This window comes from Homo sapiens, chromosome X (genome assembly GCF_000001405.40).
Source record: "Homo sapiens chromosome X, GRCh38.p14 Primary Assembly".
Lineage (NCBI taxonomy): Eukaryota > Metazoa > Chordata > Mammalia > Primates > Hominidae > Homo > Homo sapiens.
Window position 1 is genome coordinate 123,851,659 of NC_000023.11, and position 21,942 is coordinate 123,873,600.

The following is a 21,942-nucleotide window of genomic DNA, read 5'->3' on the forward strand; positions in this document are numbered from 1 at the left end:
ACCTCAGCCTCTCAACTAGCTGGGACTACAGGCGTGAGCCACCGTCCTTGGCTAATTTTTGTATTTTTTGTAGACATGGAGTTTCACCATGTCACCCTGGCTAGTCTTGAACTCCTGGACTCAAGCAAACCAACTGCCTTGGCCTCCCAAAGTGCCAGGATTACAGGTATAAGCCACCAGGCCAGGCCAAGGCAGACTTTATTCAGGACTATGGTGACAGGTATAGGAACCACTGCAATGAGATTTTGCAGTAGGGGAGAGAGACTGGGTTCAACTCCAAATATGACAAGACAAAATGAGAATTTATAGCCAAGGAACAGGATAGGAGTCAATGAATGGAAAGTTACTAAGAGGAGACATCAAAGATAGGGGAATTTTTTTCTTCTGTTTTCTCCTTGTTCAGGATCTTTTTATTTTATCTTATTTTTCTTTCTTTGTTTTAAGGCTAGGGGAAATCTTGCTGGGTAGACTCAGGATTCTTGCTGAAGGCAGGCTAGAATGATAAGATATGGAGAGTAGGCCAGCATGGTGGTTCATGCCTGTCATCTCAGCACTTTGAGAGGCCAAGTCAGGAGGATCTTTTGAGCCAGGAGGTCGAGATCACCTTGGGCAACATAGGGAGACCCCATCTCTCAAAAAAAAAAAAAAATCTGGCCGGGCATGGTGGCTCATGCCTGTAATCCCAACACTTTGGGAGGCCTAGGCAGGCAGATCACTTGAGGTCAGGAGTTCGAGACCAGCCTGGCCAACATGGTGAAACCCCGTCTCTACTAAAAATACAAAAATTAGCCAGGCATGGTGGCAGGCGCTTGTAATCTCAGCTACTCGGGAGGCTGAGACAGGAGGATCACTTGAACCCAGAAGGTGGAGGTTGCAGTGAGCCAAGATTGCGCCACTGCACTCCAGTCTGGGCAACAGAGCAAAACTCTGTTTTACACACACACACACACACACACACACACACACACACACACTCACACACAGAAAAAAAAATCTAAAAAAAGAAAGACATGGAGAGTAGAGGATGAGGAATTTGATCAGATATTGAGGTTGATCAGACACTGAGGGCAGGCATTTTTTACTAAACTGACTCAGCAGTATTTTTGCTAACACTGGATTAAGTGGGTCAAGGACAGAGCCCAAGGTTGGAGCTTAGTCAGAAAGAGGGCTCAGAGGACCCAGACTTAGGTTTGGTCAAGGAGAGAGTCTTTGTTACTATGTAACATAATTAACACAGCATGAACACAATAAACATTCAGTAAACGTTAGCAGCTACACTCTAGCCATAAGACATTAACGGTCGTGCCCCATGTACATGCTACTGTTCCCTTTCTATGCATTAGCACATTCTGACGAGTCCACTTAGAATGCTTTTCTCCTGCTTCGCCTAGCTAATTCTCCCTTGTCTTTCAACACTGAAGTCCTGTTGGAGTCAGTTCTGATCTGGGTCCCTCCTCTGGGCTCCCACTGCACGCTGTGCCTGCCTCCACCAAGTGAAAAACCACTGCAGGGTTTTAGGTGGAGGAGTGACCTGACTTGTCTTGAATATCTACTATATGCCAGGCACCACTGTAGGTTCTGAATCAAAATAAGAATAAAAAGAACACTTAGCAGCTGGGCGCGGTGGCTCACACCTGTAATCCTAGCACTTTGAGAGGCTGAGGCGGGTGGATTGCCTGAGCTCAGGAGTTTAAGACCAGCCTAGGCAACAAGGTGAAACCCCATCTCTACTAAAAATACAAAAAATTAGCCAGCGTCATGGTGTGTGCCTGTAATCTCAGCTACTCAGGAGGCTGAGGCAGGAGACTCGCTTAAACCCAGGAGGCAGAGGTTGCAGAGAGCTGAGATCATGCCACTGCACTCCAGCCTGTGCAACAGAACAAGACTCTGTCTCAAAAAAAAAAAAAAGAAGAACACTTAGAGGGTTACTGAGAAGATTAAAGAGATAAAGCGAGATAAAGCTTGCGAAGCACTTAAGACATGGCCTGACATATGGCAAACATTCAGTAAATGCTAACCACTATTACTTATATTTAGAAGAATGTAAATAACTATTATTATTACTATTATTTTTTGAGATGGAGTCTTGCACTGTTGCCCAGGCTGGAGTGCAGTGGTGCGATCTCAGCTCACTGCAAGCTCCGCCTCCGGGGTTCTTGCCATTCTCCTGCCTCAGCCTCCCGAGTAGCTGGGACTACAGGTGCCCGCCACCACGCCCGGCTAATTTTTTGTATTTTTAGTACAGACAGGGTTTCACCGTGTTAGCCAGGATGGTCTTGATCTCCTGACCTTGTGATCCGCCTGCCTTGGCCTCCCAAAGTGCTGGGATTACAGGCGTGAGCCACTGCACCCGGCTATTATTATTTATACTCCCTTACATACATTCAGGTCTTTGGCATCACAGTCTTCCTTTCTAAACACAAATCTTACCACCATCCTGGATGATGATCTCTCCAACATGCCAGCCTCTCTCTTGGACCTCAACTCCAGCAGCTTTCACCTCCTCCCTACTCAAGATACACCATGACGACACTCTGACCTTGACATTGTTGTTGGATTGTTGGATTTTTGCACAATAATAGACTGGGTATAACAATAGGATTAGATTAGTGTATATTAATAGAAAGCTCAGGTGCAATTTTCCATTAGTTTGAGATGAGAGTGTAATCTTCTGTTCTTGCCACAAACAAGCAAGAAGTCTTTTCTGTATGACTGGGTCCCAGGAAGATAAAAGCAGAGAAAGGAAAGGAGGTGCTGGCTAGAGATGCTAGCTTTGCCAGCACAAGCTAAGGGCAGGCATCTTTATGACTACTCAAAGAGAGGAAATTACAGTTGCAGTCTTTCTGGCAGCAAAGAGGGAATGAGAGGTTAGTGACCAAGATACTGGATCATGAATCAGGAGACTGAGGGGCGGATGCTGCCAACAGATGCTATTTGACATGAATGCTCATCACAAAGGCTGTTTGGTTATTGGTGAGTCAAGAGTAATCCTCTGCAAGTCTGCACCGCTTTCTCCCAGAAGAAGTTTCTTTTTTATTGTTGTTGTTTCCCTACTCATAGAAGAAGTTTCATGAAGCTGATAGCTCCGAGAACAAGGCCTGAAAGTCGGGGCTCACCCGCCCCCACCCCCCACCCCGCTTCACTCAAAGCTCTTGCTTTTTTTTTTTTTTTTTGAGACGGAGTCTCGCTCTGTCGCCCAGGCTGGAGTGCAGTGGCGCTGCAAGCTCCGCCTCCCGGGTTCACGCCATTCTCCTGCCTCAGCCTCCCGAGTAGCTGGGACTACAGGCGCCCGCCACCATGCCCGGCTAATTTTTTGTATTTTTAATAGAGACGGGGTTTCACTGTGTTAGCCAGGATGGTCTCGATCTCCTGACCTCGTGATCCGCCCGCCTCGGCCTCCCAAAGTGCTGGGATTACAGGCGTGAGCCACTGCGCCCGGCCTTTTTTTTTTTTTTTTTTTTGAGACAGAGTTTCTCTCTTGTTGCCCAGGCTGGAGTGCAATGGCGCGATCTTGGCTCGCTGCAACCTCTGCCTCCCTGGTTCAAGTGATTCTCCTGCCTCAGCTTCTCGAGTAGCTGGCGCCCGCCACCAAGCCCAGCTAATTTTTTGTATTTTTAGTAGAGACGGGGTTTCACTATGTTGCCCAAGCTGGCTTCGAACTCCTGACCTCAGGCAATCCGCCTGCCTTGGCCTCCCACAGTGCTGTGATTACAGGCGTGAGCCACTGTGCCCGGCCTATAACTGCATTTTGGAAAAGAGTTCTAGTGCTAAATCTTTGCCGTTCCCCTCAGCGGATAACTACATATTTTACGTTCCACAGTATCCAGCTGCCACTGAGGTGTGGTGGCCATCCTCAAAATTCCCTTCTACTTATCCACATCTTGTGTCCTTTAGTCTCTGAGGATGTGTCCTCTTTTTCTGTTCAAGGATAATGCCTCTATTCATGCTTGATCCGATCTCTTTCTCCTTTCCTCTGAGTCTTTATGCCATCAATTTTCCTTTCTTCTGTTAGGTTGAACCATATTAAATTGCTGTTTGCATCATTTGGCAATGGTGGAACATTGGCAACTTCATGCGGTTCAAGTTAATATATCTTCATTCTTTTCCTCTCTAAATGTTCCTTCTCCTCAACCAAAACCAATTACAATAAAATATCCTTGTATAGGTAAGAGTAAGCTCTCTATATATTGTGTTTTGAATTTTACACTTACATATGTCCCTGCATATAAAACCTAAACACCGTATCTCAGGTATACTGGCCTTTGCTGTTCATATCTCCCAGTTGACAATTCACCCAATAAGTATTTACTGAGGATCTGGCATGTTCATGAAACACTTATTCACTCACCCAACAAATATCTTCTGAGCACATACACTGTGTCAGATACTGTTCTAAGCACTCGAACGATATCAGTGAACAAAACAAGGATCCTTGTGCTCTTAGAGCTTATATTCTAGCAGGAGTGGAAAGGAGACAATGTACAGTAAAGAAACATAATAATTAAAAGTACCATATAGTATGTTAGAAAGTGACAGATGCCGGGCACGGTGGCTCACGCCTGTAATCCCAGCACTTTGGGAGGCCGAGGCAGGCGGATCACCTAAGGTCGGGAGTTTGAGACCAGCCTGACCAACATGGAGAAACCCTGTCTCTACTAAAAATACAAAATTAGCTGGGCGTGGTGGTGCATGCCTGTAATCCCAGCTACTCGGGAGGCTGAGTAGGAGAATCGCTTGAACCTGGTAGGTGGAGGTTGCAGTGAGCCAACATCGTGCCATTAGCACTCCAGCCTGGGCAACGAGAGCGAAACTCTGTCTCAAAAAAAAAAAGAAAAAGAAAAAAGAAAGTGACAGATGCCATGGAAAAAGCAGAAAGTTGAGCAGAGGAAGGGAGATTGGGAGTGCTGGGAGGAGGAACTGTAATTTTAAATATTGTGGTCACTGTAGGCCTTTTGGAGAAGGTAACAATTAAGCAAAGACTTGAAGGAGGAGAAGGATATGCTATCTGGGGAAAGTGTTCCGGGCAGAGTAAACAGCAAGTACACAGACCCTGAGTCAGGAAAGCTAAAGAAAGAAGGAGGAGAATAGTAGGAAATGAAGACACAAAAGTAAGAGTTTAGGGTCTTTGTATTAGGTATCTACTGCTGTGTAACAAATTGCCCTAAAATTTGGCTATTGACAATAATACACAGGAATTCAAGAGTCCTTTGGCTTGGGGGTTCTGGCTCTGGGTCCCAAGAGGCTACAGTTTCTGAAGGCTGTGCCTGAAGATTCTTCTTCCAAGGCGGCTCACTCACATGGTTGGCAAATTGGTGCTGGTTGTTGATGGGGGAGGAAGAGATGAGGAGAGGGGAAGGGCTTTGTTTCTATTTGTGTGGGTCTCTCCACCTGCTGTTTTTAAAAAAAAGCCTAGTGAAGTAAAGCAGTGAGAGTAGAGAAGGAAGAAAGAAATCTGTAACTAGCTGTGATCAATTGGTTGTAAACACCACTTCACTCAGACCAGCCTCCACATGCTGTTTGAGTATCTTCATGACATGACAGCTGGCTTCCCCTACAGCAACCAATCCAAAAACGGAGCAAGGCAGATACCACAATGCCTTTTATGACCTAGTCTTGTAAGTCACACGCTATCATTTCTACCATATACTACTGATGACACAGTCAGCCCTGGTTCATTATAGAAGAGAACTACCCCAGGGTGTAAATAGCAAGAGGTGAAGACCATTGGTGGTCATCTTGGTGGCTATGATAGCCTTGGTAGGTCATTATAAATCTGTGGTTTTTACTTTGAGGGAAATGGGAAGCCAATTAAGGGATCTGAGCAGTGAAATGACAATGATCTCACATGTTTCATGAGGACAACTCTTGCCACTGTGTGAATTGACTGGAGAAGAGCAAGGATGTAAGCGGGAGACCAGTGAGAAGGCTATTACAGTCCAAGAGAGATGCACTAGGGTCATAATGGTGGAGTCGAGAATTGGTGATATTCTGGATTCATTTTGAAGACAGAGATGACAAGATTTGCTGATGGATTGGATGTGGGATATAAGAGAAAGGAATTAAAGATGACTTCTAAGGGTTTTGGAGGAATAGGAATTACAAAAATGAGTTCCACATAGATCTTGCCATAAATGAGCTTACAACATAGGAGAGACAAGGTGTGTACGCAAGTGCCATATATACTACATGGCAGAAAGCACTATGCTCCATAATACAGTGCCAAGTACAATAAAAAAGTTCTGGAGATGGTTGCACAACAATGTGAATGTACTTATTGCCACTGAAAAATGGTTAAAATGGTAAATTTTTATTTATTTACTTATTTTTATTTATTTTTAATTTATAAATTTTAATTTATAAATTTTATTTATTTATTTATTTATTTTTATTTTTATTTTTTTGAGACGGAGTCTCGCTGTGTCACCCAGGCTGCAGTGCAGTGGCAGGATCTCGGTTCACTGCAAGTTCTGCCTCCCAGGTTCACGCCATTCTCCTGCCTCAGGCTCCCGAGTAGCTGGGACTACAGGTGCCTGCCACCACGCCCGGCTAATTTTTTGTATTTTTAGTAGAGACTGGGGTTTCACCGTGTTAGCCAGGATGGTCTCGATCTCCTGACCTCGTGATCCGCCCGCCTCAGCCTCCCAAAGTGCTGGGATTACAGGCGTGAGCCACGGCGCCCGGCCTATTTATTTTTATTTACTTATTTATTTTGAGACGGAGTCTCGCTCTGTCACCCAGGGTGGAGTGCAGTGGTGCGATCTCGGCTTACTGCAGCCTCCAACTCCCGGGTTCCAGAGATTCTCCAGCCTCAGCCTACCAAGTAGCTGGGATTACAGGCACTCACCACCACACTCGGCTAATTTTTGTATTTTTAGTAGAGACGGGTTTTCACCATGTTGGCCAGGCTGGTCTCGAACTACTGACTTCTGGTGATCCACCCGCCTCGGCCTCCCAAAGTGTTAGGATTACAGGCGTGAGCCACCATGCCCAGCCAAAACAGTAAATTTTATGTTATGTACATTTTACCACAAGAAAACAACGGTGCTTAAAAAAAGCAAAAACAAATATTAGAGAAGTGCCACTAGAGTTCAGAGCATGGAGAGATGAACTTCAGCTAAGAAAATCAGAGAAGGCTTTGTGTACGGGCAGTCTTTTTTTTTTTTTTTTTTTTGAGACGGAGTCTCGCTGCCTTCCACGGGCAGTCTTTTCACATAGGCAGAGGGAGTAGTTTGAACAAATTAGCGGAAGGCAGGAAAACTGAGGATAGGCGGGGCACAAGGAGTAGTTCTGATTTGTTAGAAGATAGGGTAGGGCACCCAAGGGGAGAATAAACATGCAACTACGAGTTTTAAGAAAATTCTTTCCTCTCCTCCCTCCAAGTTCCCTTGTTGTGAAGGGAGGATCATATCTTGTATCACTTGATTTCATTTGAAATGAAATATTCAGAATCCATCATCTCACCACATTACCCTGTAAGATCCCATTTTCCTGAAACAAAAATTCCTATGTTGATCTGACAATCCTACAACGCATTTGAAATAAATCCAGGGTATGACCAGCATTTTATGTACACAGACTTCCTTTGTTTCCGGTCCATCTGCTTTCTTTTTCCTCTATTAATTTTCCCTTCACCTCCCAATCTTAACCCCCGCCATTCCCCCAGGGTCTCCCTTTCTTGTCATCCCTTTCATCCTTCCCTTCTTGGAAACAGATCCGATTCTAACCTCAGTTACCTTATTAGCCGCGTGATACTGGGATAGTTATCCCCTGTGGGCCTCAGTTTCCTTTGTAAAATGGGCTTATTAAACCCCCAAAGACAGTGCTTATCTTACAGGGTTGTCAACATTACAACAAAGAACACGTTATATGCCTAACACAGTACCTGATCTATAGTAAGAACTCAACATTTTCGCCCCTTCTCCTCCTCTTTTCTGTCCTTGTGCCTTTCTTCCACTATTCCTCAACCCCAGGGCCCAACAGGTAAAAACCGTGGGAAAAACCATCCTTAAGGCTGAAAGAAGAAACACTGGAGCTGGGGGCGGAGACTACGAGGTGCTCACTGCGCATGTGCGCGCGCTAGGTCAGCTTCTCGGTTCCAGCCGGGCGGGGGGGTCGGGTGGGGGTGGGGGTAGGGGTTGCAAGGGCCTCATTTTTTCTTACTGCCCCCATCCGGTTCGGGGAGGTGGCGGGACCTTGGCGGCGCCCGGAGCCGGCGTGGCGCTCATCGAGGGACGCCCGGCCCAAGTGGTAAGTTGAAAAATGGCGGAGGGGGGAAGAAGGAGGGGCTTTGCAGGGCAGGAGGCTGACCTCCCGGCCGGGGGTGGGAGGGACACGCCGGGGCCCAGTGGCGCAGCCCGGGCTGGGAGACTGACGGACCGCGCCCGGTGTCTCTTTGAGGCCCTGACGTGGACACACTTCGGGTTTCACGACTCCGGGTTTCTCCAGGGGATGGGCCGGCCGGTAGAGGCGCGTGAGGGAGACGAAGGGACTTCCGTTTCCTTCACCTAGGCTGGGGCCAAGCCGCAGAGCGGAGTTGGCATTTCCAGATTGGGGCTCGGGCCGCGCCTCCTCCGGGACCCTCCCCTTGGACCGAGCCGATCGCCGCGGGGCAGTTCGGGCCGGCTGTCCTGGCGCGGTGGGTACAGCTTGTGTAGGCTTTCCCCTCCCCCGCTTTCCCTCCTTCCCCTCTCCTCCCTCCCCTCTTCTTTTCCCCTCCACTTCCCTCGGGCCGGCGCTGCTGGGGAGGGCGGGAAGGCCGCGCCAGCCCATCAGGGGTGGCCCGGCCCCGGCTGCTTGCCCGGGTTCCTCGGACTGCCGACGGCAGGCGTGGGTGGGTGGGTGACTTCAGGCCTGCAGGATTGCCTTCCTAAACCCTGTGACACCTAAGGTAAATTGAGGCAAAGAACTTTTTAAAAAAATATGATCAAAGGGATTTCCTCCCCATGTGATAACCTGTGGCTTGTGTGGAGCAGGGTGGAGTGTGTCTGGAGAGGGCATATGAAACTGAAAGAATAAGGGCCAAAGAGCTTCCGGAAGAGGAAATTAGCTGGTGATTCTTTCCAATCTGCTTTCCCAGTCACCTTTCCGGCATGTTCTGTAAAACAAAATGTAATTTGACTTTGTTTCATTATTTTAACTCCATAACACTTAAATTGTTTTCTTTTCGGGGAGGGGAGTGTTTATTCTCAAACTAAGCAGTAGCCCTCTCCACCTTCGAAAAAGGAACAACGTCAATCCAACCTTTGTTAAAAAACTCCAACCTATCAGATTTTAATAATCTAGTAGTTTGCTTTCAAATATAATTATGTCGCTAGTTCTGTCACAACTATACTTTGATAGTTTAATGACTCACAGAAATTTGTAAGACTGGAGGTTGCAGTAGTGTTTCTTTCTTATTCTTTTTTTTCCCCATAATATTTATTATAGTCAATGAACAGTGTTACAGACGGCCATCTTAGAATTATAACATTTTAGAGTTGGAAGGGATCTTAGTCAAACCCTGTCCTTTTACAAAACCAGAAACCACGGCTTAGGAAGATTTCATAGCTTGCTAAAGGCTATCCAACTAGTTAGATTAGAACCCATGTTATCTGGCTTCTTGCCCACCACTCTTACTGCGCAATTGCTCCATATCGCCTCCAAGCATGAAAATTAAATGTATTCAATTCAACACACATTTCTGAAGAGTATAATACTTTGTACCAGTGACTGTGGTACCACTTTCTATGTATTTCAATGTATTTAACATGCTTATGGAGTACTTGAGATTCCCCCCCACCCCCACATTCAAGAAGTGGCAACAGTTTAGATTTATACACACACCTTCACATGTACGTGTGTATACTTGCATTTGCTCAGATAGTTTCTTGAAGGATACACAATAAAAATGTTAATAGTAATGACTTATGGAGGAGAAGAGAGATAGAAGACTTTTTACTTTGTACTTCACATGATCTAATGTACGGTTTGAATTTGTTATAAATTCGTATTGATTTCATAATTGAAAAGTTTTAAAGTTCACACCTTCCCACACAAATATATATATCAACATAAGCAAGTATATACCAATGGTATGTACACATTTATGTGCATATATGTATTTATACATATCAGTGGTTTGTACTGTAAAATCCGGTATGATTCAGGTCAACTCAGCTGACAAAGCAGACCTCATTATTGGATACTCATGTTTCGTTTTCTTGTATTGCTCTCTCCTAATGTAAGATAGTAAAAATAATATGTTACTAGTCGTCATATATTTTTAGAAATTGTCCTAAGCTTCTTGATTATCAAATAATGTAGCAAACTTTTAACACATTTAAAATATCAAATCTGGGTACTTGCTTCAGTGGTAGCACATATACTAAAATTCGAACAATTCAAAGAAGATTAGCATGGTGTTTTTTTTTATCAATTAATTAATTAATTTTTTTTTTTGAGACGGAGTCTTACTCTGTCATCCAGGCTGGAGTGCAGTGGCCCTATCTTGACTCACTGCAGCCTCCGCCTCCTGGGTTCAAGCTACTCAGCCTCCCCAGTAGCTAGGACTACAGGCATGCGCCACCACGCCTGGCTAATTTTTGTATTTTTAGTAGACACCGGGTTTCCCCATGTTGGCCAGGCTGATCTCGAACTCCTGACCTCAGGTGATGCACCCGCCTCGGCCTCCCAAAGTGCTGGGATTAAAGGTATGAGCCACCTCGCCTGGCCAGTCCATTTTTTTTTTTTTTGAGACAGAGTTTCGCTTTTGTTTCCCAGGCTGGAGTGCAATGGCACCATCTCAGCTCACTGCAACCTCCGCCTCCCAGGTTCAAGTGATTCTTCTGCCTCAGCCTCCCAAGTAGCTGGGATTACAGGTGCCCACCACCACACCTGGCTAATTAGGTCCCTTTTTTTTAATAAACCACAAGAAAAATTTGACACCTGACGCTGTGGCTCATGTCTGTAATCCCAGCACTTTGGGACGCCAAGGCGGGCAGATCACCTGAGGTCAGGAGTTGGAGTCCAGACTGGCCAACATGGTGAAACCCCACCTCTACTAAAAAAACTAGCCGGGTGTGGTGGCGTGCACCTGTAGTACCAGCTACATGGGAGGCTGAAGCAGGAGAACTGCTTGAACCCAGGAGGCAGAGGCTGCAGTGAGCCGAGATTGCACCACTGTACTCCAGCCTGGGTGACAACAGTGCACCTTTGTCCCGAAAAAAAAAAAAATTGACACAAGGAAAATATCTGCAGCCTGGGCAACATGGCGCAGCCCTCTCTCTAATAAAAATACAAAAATTAGCCGGGCGTGCTGGCTTGTGCCTGTAGTCCTAGCTACTTTGGGGAGCTGAGGCAGGAGGATCACCTGAGCCTTGGGAGGTGGAGGCTGCAGTGAGCCATGATTGGGCCACTGTACTCCAGCCTGGGCGAAAGAGTGAGACCCTGTCTCAAACAAAACAAAGAAACAAAAATCTGAATTGTAGACTCTTTGTAGATAAGAACATATTTTTTAAAAAAGTTAAGACTAGGGCCAAGTGCGGTGGCTTTCACCTGTAATCCCAGCACTTTGGGAGGCTGAGGTGGGCGGATCACCTGAGGTCAGGAGTTCAAGACCAGCCTGGCTAACATGGTGAAACCCCATCTCTACTAAAAATACAAAAATTAGCTGGGTGTGGCGGTACACCCCTGTAGTCCCAGCTACTTGGGAGGCTGAGGCAGGAGAACCACTTGAGCCCATGAGGCGGAGGTTGCCGTGAGCTGAGAACGCAACATTCAACTCCAGCCTGGGCCACAGAGTGAGACTCCACCTCAAAAACAAATAAAAAGTTAAGACTAAAACAGTTTATAGTGATTAGGAGTTCAGCTGTCTAGTTTTGTTTTTGTTTTGAGATGGAGTTTCACTCTTGTTGCCCAGGCTGGAGTGCAATGGTGCGATCTCGGCTCACCTCAACCTCTGCCTCCCAGGTTCAAGCAGTTTCCTGCCTCAGCCTCCCGAGTAGCTGGGATTACAGGCATGCGCCACCACGCCCGGCTAATTTTGTATTTTCAGTGGAGACGGGGTTTCTCCATGTTGGTCAGGCTGGTCTCAAACTCCCGACCTCAGGTGAAAAAGTGCTGGGACCTCAGGTGAAAAAGTGAGTCACTGCACCTGGCCCAGCTGTCTCGTTTTTAGAAATAGATTAAGACTCAAAAAAAATATTGCCCACCGTAATATATCTGATTATTAGCAAAGCTTGGACTAGAGTCTAGGTTCTAGTCTAGTGGCCCTTGTACTATACCTGTAATTTTATTGCTTTCTAGTGCATTGGATGATTCCAACTAGGCTGACAAAGTAATAATATCTAAAGGTTAGCCAGGACCATTTCAATAGTTAAGAATTATTATTTTTTTCTTTGGTTTTTATTTTATTTTGTCTTCCTTTTTTTTTTCATTTTCAGGAAGTGAGCAGTTTCTCAAAATTATTATAATTAATGGACCAGCTAATTTGTATAGTGCTTAAAATATTTTAGTAACATAAATTTTACTAAATAAATTTACTAATTTAGTAAATAAATGTTCTCCTTTTATTTCATTGTAAACATTAATTTCTTTAGTAAATCCTGTATTTATATTGTAAATGTTTAGCGATAAAATAATGATATTTCACTGTTTTTGTTTGGTCTAATATTTAAGTCTGGTAGGTAGTATTAGCAGAGAGCAAAACCTACAGTTTATGAAATAAACATTCATTGAGCACTTAATGTGTTCCAGGCATTCATTGTAGTATGTGGTAGGATTCCAAGGATAAATATGGCAAAACAAATGCCTTTCTTCTGTTTTTTTTTTTTTTTTTTTTTTTTTTGAGACGACGGAGTCTGGCTCTGTTGCCCAGGCTGGAGTGCAGTAGCGCGATCTTGGCTCACTGCAGGCACTGCCTCCCGGCTTCACGCCATTCTCCTGCCTCAGCCTCTCAAGTAGCTGGGACTACAGGCACCCGCCACCACACCCGGCTTAGAGTGTGTGTGTGTGTGTGTGTGTGTGTGTGTGTGTGTGTGTGTGTGTTTTAGTAAAGACAGGGTGTCACCGTGTGTGTGTGTGTTTTAGTAAAGACAGGGTTTCACCATGTTAGCCAGGATGGTCGCATTCTCGTGTGTGTGTGTGTGTGTGTGTGTGTGTGTGTGTGTGTGTGTGTGTGTGTTTTAGTAAAGACAGGGTTTCACCGTGTGTGTGTGTGTGTGTGTTTTAGTAAAGACAGGGTTTCACCATGTTAGCCAGGATGGTCGCATTCTCCTGACCTCGTGATCTGCCTGCGTTGGCCTCCTAAAGTGCTGGGATTACAGGCGCGAGCCATCACACCAGGCCGCCTTTCTTCTTTTTTTTTTTTTTTTGCTTTTTTATGTTCGTCTGTTTTTATTTTGCTTTTGTGTGTTTGTTTGTTTTTCCATTGTTCTTTTGAGGCTGGGAGATTATCATGAGCTGTCAATTCTCAAGCTTTATCTCTGTGAGATAATCTGGTAATAGTTTTATAAAATGTAACCTGTTAGCACTATTAAAGGACATTGTGTGAGTAGATATGAAGAGACAAACAGTAGTGATAAGATAAAAAATACTTTAGAATTTAACAAATACTGTTTCTGTATCTTAGAGGTCATGTGCTACAGTGTTTGGAAAGAGCCCTACGTTGGGTACCACAGTACAGGTTATTGACTTTGTTTCCAATTAGCTGTGGGATTGTGCATGTCAATGACCCCATCTTTCTTTACATGTTCACATTTTTGATATGTTATTTTAGGTGTTGAATTCAAAACATAAAAAGGGTATTTTAAGGCCGGGCGTGGTGGCTCACGCCTGTAATCCCAGCACTTTGGGAGACTGAGGCGGGCGGATCACGAGGTCAGGAGATCTAGACCATCCTGGCACCCCTCTCTGCTAAAAAAAAAAAAAAATACAAAAAATTAGCTGGGCGTGGTGGCAGGCGCCTGTAGTCCCAGCTACTTGGGAGGCTGAGGCAGGAGAATGGTGTGAACCCGGGAGGCGGACCTTGCAGTGAGCCGAGATTGCGCCACTGCACTCCAGCCTGAGCTACAGAGCGAGACTCCGACTCAAAAAAAATAAAAGGGTATTTTGAATATTTTATTTTATTTATTTGTTTTTGAGACATTGTCTTGCTGTGTCACCCAGGCTGGAGTTCAGTGCATGATCCCAGCTCACTGCAACCTCCACCTCCTGGGTTCAAGTAATTCTGGTGACTCAGCCTCCCAAGTAGCTGGGATTACAGGCGTGTGCTACCACACCTGGCTAATTTTTTTTTTTTTGGTATCTCTTTTTTTCCCCTCGGAGACAGAGTCTTGCTCTGTCGCCCAGAGCTGGAGTGCAATGGCTGCGATCTCTGTTCACTGCAGACTCCGCCTCCTGGGTTCAGGCAATTCTCCTGCCTCAGCCTCCCGAGTAGCTGGGATTACAGGCGCACGCCACCACAACTGGCTAATTTTTGTATTTTTAGTAGAGACGGGGTTTCACCATGTTAACCAGGTTGGCCTCGAACTCCTGACCTCGTGATCCACCCACCTCAGCCTCCCAAAGTGCTGGGATTACAGGTGTGAGCCACCACACCCAGCCTTTTTTGTATTTTAAGTAGAGACAGGATTTCACCATGTTGCCCAGGCTGGTCTTGAACTCCTGACCTCATGTGATCTGCCCGCCTTGGCCTCCCAAAGTGCCAGGATTACAGGCATGAGCCACTGTGCCGGCCTTTGAGTATTTTAAGTTATAAAAGAAATATGTGTTTCTATATATATTATATAATATATATTATACATGATATATAATATATATGATATAAATTATATTATATACAATATATTATATATGATTAATATATAATATATGATATATCATATATAATATCAAAATATATAATATGTATATAATAATGTATGATATATATAATATAGTATATAATATATTACATGTATAATATATTATATATAATATATAATACAATATATGTAAAATATATATAATATATAACACAATATAATATGTAAAATATATTACATATATAATATATATATTTTTCAGACAGAGTCTAGCTCTGTCACCCAGGCTGGAGTGCAGTGGTGAGATCTTGGCTCACTGAACCTCCGCCTCCCAGGTTCAAGCGATTCTTCTGCCTCAGCCTCCCAAGTAGCTGGGACTACAGGTGTGCTACCACACCTGGCTTATTTTATTTTATGTATTTATTTATTTTTCTGAGACGGAGTCTTGCTCCTGACCTCATGTGATCTGCCCGCCTCGGCCTCCCAATGTGCTGGGATTCCAGGCATGAACCACCGTGCCTGGCCAGAGATATGTGTTTATTATAGAAAATTTATGAAATAGAATAATGACGATCATATTGTCTACAGGTTGTTTTAATCCCCCCCCCCCCTTCAACATTCTATAGTTAACATTTCTGTTTTTTTTTTTGAGACGGAGTCTCGCTCTGTCGCCCAGGCTGGAGTGCAGTGGTGCGATCTCAGCTCACTGCAACCTCCGCCTCCTGGGTTCATGCCATTCTCCTACCTCAGCCTCTCTAAGTAGCTGGGACTACAGGTGCCCGCCACCACGCCTGGCTAATGTTTTTGTATTTTTAGTAGAGACGGGGTTTCACCATGGTCTCCATCTCCTGACCTCGTGATTAGCCCGCCTCAGCCTCCCAAAGTGCTGGGATTACAAGTGTGAGCCACTGCGCCCAGCAGTCTTTTTTTTTTTTTTGGTTTGGTTTGGTTTTTTAGACAGAGTCTCACTCTGTCCCCCAGGCTGGAGTGCAGTGGCACAATCTCAGCTCACTGCATCTCCGCCTCCTGGGTTCAAGTGATTCTCCTGCCTGAGCCTCCTGAGTAGCTAGGATTATAGACATGTGCTACCACGCCCGGCTAATTTTTGTATTTTTAGTGGAGGCATGGTTTCCCCATGTTGGCCAGGCTAGTCTTGAACTCCTGACCTTGTGATCCGCCCGCCTTGGCCTCCCAAAGTATTGGGATTACAGGTGTGAGCCCCCGTACCTGGCCTTTTTTTTTTTTTTTTTTTGAGACGGAGTTTTGCTCATGTTGCCCAGGCTGGAGCGCATTGGTGCAATCTCAGCTCACTGCAACCTCTGCCTCCTGGGTTTAAGTGATTCTCCTGCCTCAGCCTCCCAAGTAGCTGGGATTACAGGCGCACGCACAACCATGCCCAGTTAATTTTTCTATTTTTAGTAGAGATAGTGTTTTACCATGTTGGCCAGGCTGGTCTCGAACTCCTGACCTCAGGTCATCCACCTGCCTTGGCCTCCCAAAGTCCTGGGATTACAGGCATGAGCCACTGCGCCCAGCCTGAAGTCTTTCAAAATACATTTTTTATTTATCCAGTGTATTATTTTATACTGCACTTTCTTCATCTGTAAAGTAACAGGGTCAGGCATGGTGACTCATACCTGTAAGCCCAGCACTTTGGGAGGCTGAGGTGGGAGGATTGTTTGAGACCAGCCTGGGCAACATCGTGAGACCCCGTCTCTACCAATAATAAAAAAATTAGCTGGATGTGATGGCACGCGCCTGTGAAGATCGCTTGAGCCCGGGAGGTCAAGGTGGCAGTGAGCCATGAGGGCACCACTGCATTCTAGCCTGAGTGACAAGAGTGAGGCCCTGTCTCAAAACAAACAAACAAGCAAACAAACAAACAAAAAACCCAGGGTGGCTGGGCTTAAGGACTAGTTGATTCCAACGATTCAAAACCCATTATAATAGTTTTTAAGCCTGATTATCTGAGATTTTGTCAAGGAAAAAAATTCCACATAACAATCCCAGGCCAGGCATGGTGGCTCATGCCTTTAATCCCAGCACTTTGGGAGGCCAAGTCAGGGAGATCCCTTGAGTCCAGGAGTTCAAGACCAGCCTGGGCAACATGGTAAAATGCTATCTCTACTAAAAATAGAAAAATTAACTGGGCATGGTTGTGCGTGCACCTGTAATCCCAGCTACTCTGGAGGCTGAGGTGGGAGGATCACTTGAGCCCAGGAGGTGGAGGTTGCAGTGAGTCAAGATCAGGGCACCCCATTCCAGCTTGGGGGACAGAGCAAGACCCTATCTCAAAAAACAAAAACAGGAATTTGAGGCCAAATTTATGGATTATATATTTTATCTGCTCTGTATGTGGTTAATAATAGGTTATCCTTTATATGATAAAAACATACTTATGTCCATTTTGCAGGACTTGGCATGGGCTTTTATTGTTTTAAATTGTGATACATTTGTAGCTCTGCTGTTTGATACATTTTGGGATTTGATTTTGGTATGATTTGGTACCCAGTCTTTGTTATGGATACATGTGATTCACCTTGTTATGATATAGTTTTATGTATTTTCGAGGATATGGGTCATAGTGAAAAGTCACGTTTACCTGTACAGACTGAGAATAGCTTGATCTCAGATGGTCAGATGTTGAACCAAGTGGATTAAAGCTGATTTCTTAAACCGGACAAGGCTGCTGCCATTGTGCATTCCCTGGTACTTATAAAATATTATGGTTTGAAATTTTATTCTTATTTCTGTAATCATCTTATTCACCTTAAATACAGAAATACAGACATCTGGCTGGGCGCAGTGGCTCACACCTGAAATCCCAGCACTTTGGGTGGCCGAGGCAGGTGGATCACTTGAGGTCAGGAGTTCAAGACCAGCCTGACCAACAGAGCAAAACCCCATCTCTACTAAAAAAATACAAAAAAAAAAAAAAAAAAAAAAGCTGGGTCATGCCTCTGCAATCCCAGCTACTTAGGAGGCTGAGGCAGGAAAATTACTTGAGCCTGGGAGGTGGAGGTTGCAGTGAGCTGAGATCATGCCACTGTACTCCAGCCTGGATGACAGAGTGAGACTCCATCTCAAAAATAAAGAAAAGAAAAAAAAAACACAGACATCTCAGCATATATTACCATGTGACTTAACCTTTCTATGGTTCTAGCTAATTTTTTAGGCCTTGAAAGGGAAGGAAGCCTAACATTTTCTGCTACCTCATTGGACTGTCCCTTCTGCCAGTAATCCTTGTAGTAATTTCCTTAGACCTATATTGGTCATAATCACTGGGTGCATGACCTTTGATGAGTAACAGTCAGAACTACTGTTTCCTCATATTTCAGATGAGGCCTATGATATATTATGTAGGTTAAATTAGATTCCATATATGAAAACATTCTAAATTGTAAAGCACATTACATATGTTAGTTATTATCAAAGGTAACATCGTGAAAGAAGAGAAGATGAGCTATAGAATCACACAAGCCCATGCTTAAATTTTGACCTTACATTAAACCAAAGAGGATTGATTTTTTTTTTTAATTGAGACGGAGTCTCGCTCTGTCGCTCAGGCTGGAGTGCAGTGGCGCAATCTCAGCTCACTGCAACCTCTGCCGCCCAGGTTCAAGCGATTCTCGTGCCTCAGCCTCCTTAGTAGCTGGGACTACAGGCACGCGCCACCACGCCCAGCTAATTTTTTTGTATTTTTAGTAGAGACAGGGTTTTGCCATTTTGGCGAGGCTGGTCTCGAACTCCTGACCTCAGGTGGTCTGCCCACCTCAACCTCCCAAAGTGCTGGGATTACAGGCTTAAGCCACCATGCCCAGCCAAGATTGAAAATTTTTAGTTTAAATTCAGCATGTTTAGTAGAGAAGTACTTACTTGTAGCTAAAATGATGGGATGAAGGAAAATGAAAATTAGTTTGTAGATAGTATTTGGGTACATGCGGACACTCATGAAATATGTTGTATCGTTTAAATTTGGTTTGTAGCACAGTTTCCTTTACTTTGTGTCATTTAAAAAAATTAAAACCTAGACAGAAGAGAAACGTACTAAATGTTTGAATATAGATAGCACTGTGGCTTTCAGATAGAGTTAAATATTTTTACTGAAGAAAGAGAAAAGATGTGGGCTCTTATCCATAACTTGTTTGATCAGCCTGGGCAATATAGTGAGACCTTGTCTCTACAAAAAAAAATTTAAAAATTAGCTGAGTGTGCTGTCGCCTGCCTGGAGTCCAGCTCCTCAGGAGGCTGAGGTGGTAGGATTGCTTGAAACCGCAAGGCAGGGGTTGCAGTGAGCCAAGATTGTGACACTGCACTCCAGTCTGGGCGATAGAGCAAGACCCTGTCCCAGAAGAAAAAAAAAAGTTGTTTAAGTACTTGCTTGAGATCCTAACATGATCATGGAATAGAATACTTCACTCTGAGGTGAGAAGATCACTTGAGGCCAGGAGTTCAAGACCAGCTTGAGCAACATAGTAAGACCCCATCTCTTTTTGTGTGTGCGTGTGTGTGTGTGAGGGAGTCGGAGTTTCACTCTGTCAGCCAGGCTGCTGGAGTACATTGGCACGATCTGGGCTCAATGCAACCTCCGCCTCCCAGGTTCAAGTGATTCTCCTGCCTCAGCCTACCGGGTAGCTGGGATTACAGGCATATGCCACCATGCCCAGCTAATTTTTGTATTTTTAGTAGGGGCCGGGTTTCACCATGTTGGCCAGGGTGGTCTCGAACTCCTGACCAAGTGATCCACCCACCTCAGCCTCCCAAAGTGCTGGGATTACAGGTGTGAGCCACCACACCTGGCCATGAGCCACCAAGCCTGGTCGAGACCCCATCTCTTAAAGAAAAAAAAAAGAATACTTCGTTCTGAGAAATGTCTAGGGGTAGGTATTACCTGCTTATGAAGTCATCCATGGCATTTCTGGAACCATCTGATTGTATGAACTGCTTTCTAATCACTCTGTCAGAATAAGTTATCTGGACAAAGTATCAGAGTACAGTAAGTTCCGGTTCCATGCCACTAATCAGCTCTATGGCCTTAGTCAAATCATTTACCTTCCTTATGTTTTAGTTTCTTTTTCTTTCTTTTTTTTTTTTTGAGACAGGATCTGGTTCTATCAGCCCAGGCTGGAGTGGCCAGGCTCAAGTGATCCTCCCACCTCATCCTCCCGAGTAGCTGGGACTACAGGCTCCAGCCACCATGCCTTAGTTTTTTGGGGTTTTTTTTGTTTTTTTGTTTTTTTTAGTGACTGGGTCTACCTATGTTTCCCAAGTGGATTAGTTTCTTTTTCTGTAAAGTAAGAGAATGATTTTTATTATCCTGTCCAGCAAGACATAGTTATTATGAACAATTTTTGCTCGTGAGTGTCTACAAAATATAATAATGGCCGGGTGCGGTGGCTCATGCCTGTAATCCTAGCACTTTGGGAGAATGAGGCGGGAGGATCACGAGGTCAGGAGATCGAGACCATCTTGGCCAACATGGTGAAACCCCATCTCTACTAAAAATACAAAAATTAGCTGGGTATGGTGGCACGTGCCTGTAATCCCAGCTACTCTGGAGGCTAAGGCACGAGAATTGCTTGAACCCAGGAGGCGGAGGTTGCAGTGAGCCGAGATTGTGCCACTGCACTCCAGCCTGGTGACAGAGCGAGACTCCATCTCATAGTAATAATAATAATGATGATGCTTTTTAGTATACTTGATTCTGAGCTGCTCGTTTTGTTAAAATTATTTTAGGGAAGTTTTTGCCCAAAGTTCGCGGATACTTCTTTCTTCTTACCAGGCCCCAAAGTCATTGTAAATTTTTACAAGGCAGTGGATGAACAGTTCATAACTCCAAAGATAGATATCACTCAGAAAAATTTTTCCACAAGAAGTCCTTTTTTTTTTTTCGTCCTTTTTTTTTTTGGCACACTAGTGTCTCACTTAGCAAGTCCTTTTATTTTCAACTCAAGTTAACAATAAGTTGGCCGGGTGTGGTGGCTCACGCCTGTAATCCCAGCACTTTGTGAGGCTGAGGCGGGCAGATCACCTGAAGTCAGAAGTTTTGAGAACAGTCTGGCCAACATGACGAAACCCCGTCTCTACTAAAAATACAAAAATTAGTCGGGCATGGTGGCGCGCCCCTGTAGTCTTGCTACTCAAGAGGCTAAGGCAGGAGAATCACTTGAATTTGGGAGATGGAGGTTGCAGTGAGCCGAGATCACGCCACTGCACTCTAGCCTGGGTGACAGAGCAAGACTCCATCACAAAAAAAGAAACCCAATAAGTAGCAATCAGGTATCACCTGTGTTTCTCAGCCCTTCTCTTCTGCTGCTGGTTTACTGCCACTCAAGCAGTGGACCAAAAGGCATTTGTTTCTGGCCAACCACCATGGACATGATCTGATGACTGCTTTTATCTCTGGGACTTGACCTGTATCCCTCTCTCTCTCTTTTTTTTGGATAGCTTTTCATTCTGTCTCCCAGGGTACAGTGCACTGGCACAATCATAGCTCACTGCAGACTCTGCTTCCCAGGCTCAGGCAGTCCTTCCACCTCAGCTTCCTGAGTAGCTGGGACTACAGGCATGTGCAACCATGCCCGACTAATTTTTAATTTTTTTTTTTTTTGAGACGAAATTTCGCTGTTGTTGCCCAGGCTGGAGTGCAATGGCGCAATCTCGGCTCACCGCAACCTCGGCCTCCCAGGTTCAAGTGATTCTCTTGCCTCAGCCTTCCTGAGTAGCTGGGATTACAGGCATGCGCCAGCACGCCCGGCTAATTTTGTATTTTTACTAGAGACGGGGTTTCTTCATGTTGGTCAGGCTGGTCTCGAACTCCTGACCTCAGATGATCCTCCCGCCTCGGCCTCCCAAAGTGCTGGGATTACAGGCGTGAGCCACCACACCTGGCCTAATTTTTATTTTATTTTTTTTTGTAGAGATGGGGTCTCACCATGTTGCCCAGGCTGGCCTCAAACACCTGGGCTCAAGCAGTCCTCCTGCCTTGACCTCCCAAAGTGCTGGGAATACAGGCATGAACCACCATGTCTGGCCCTCTCTCTCTCTCTTTTTTGAAACCTGATGATCGCCAGGCACGGTGGCTCACGCCTGTAATCCCAGCACTTTGGGAGGCCAAGGCGAGCAGATCACTTGAGATGAGGAGTTTGAGACCAGCCTGGCC

At 45.0% G+C, this 21,942-nt stretch overlaps 1 protein-coding gene across 7 annotated transcripts in view, besides 5 other annotated features; it reads left to right on the top strand.

Annotated features, from left to right (window-relative positions):
• Positions 7,260-8,200: an enhancer, noted in NCBI's record as "H3K27ac hESC enhancer chrX:122992768-122993708 (GRCh37/hg19 assembly coordinates)". NCBI's record gives its function as "activates a minimal SCP1, AML or CMV promoter by ChIP-STARR-seq in naive H9 embryonic stem cells {active_cell/tissue: H9 hESC(naive)}" and the evidence as "EXISTENCE:reporter gene assay evidence [ECO:0000049][PMID:30033119]".
• Positions 7,260-9,142: a biological region, named in NCBI's record as "H3K27ac hESC enhancers GRCh37_chrX:122992768-122993708 and GRCh37_chrX:122993709-122994650".
• Positions 8,050-21,942, top strand: part of XIAP (X-linked inhibitor of apoptosis) — a 54,265-nt gene continuing 40,372 nt past the window's right edge. For 2 of the 7 annotated variants that reach the window (NR_037916.2, NM_001167.4), the window contains exon 1: positions 8,395-8,635. The gene's annotated coding sequence lies outside the window, so the exon portion shown is untranslated. Of the gene's footprint in view, positions 8,081-8,155; positions 8,248-8,394; positions 8,636-8,791; positions 8,888-21,942 lie in introns of those variants that run through there. The other 5 variants (NR_165803.1, NM_001378591.1, NM_001378592.1 and 2 more) reach the window with 5 other exon arrangements.
• Positions 8,100-8,419: a silencer, noted in NCBI's record as "silent region_20970". NCBI's record gives its function as "represses an Ori minimal core promoter by ATAC-STARR-seq in GM12878 lymphoblastoid cells {active_cell/tissue: GM12878}" and the evidence as "EXISTENCE:reporter gene assay evidence [ECO:0000049][PMID:35858748]".
• Positions 8,201-9,142: an enhancer, noted in NCBI's record as "H3K27ac hESC enhancer chrX:122993709-122994650 (GRCh37/hg19 assembly coordinates)". NCBI's record gives its function as "activates a minimal SCP1, AML or CMV promoter by ChIP-STARR-seq in primed H9 embryonic stem cells {active_cell/tissue: H9 hESC(primed)}" and the evidence as "EXISTENCE:reporter gene assay evidence [ECO:0000049][PMID:30033119]".
• Positions 8,700-8,759: a silencer, noted in NCBI's record as "silent region_20971". NCBI's record gives its function as "represses an Ori minimal core promoter by ATAC-STARR-seq in GM12878 lymphoblastoid cells {active_cell/tissue: GM12878}" and the evidence as "EXISTENCE:reporter gene assay evidence [ECO:0000049][PMID:35858748]".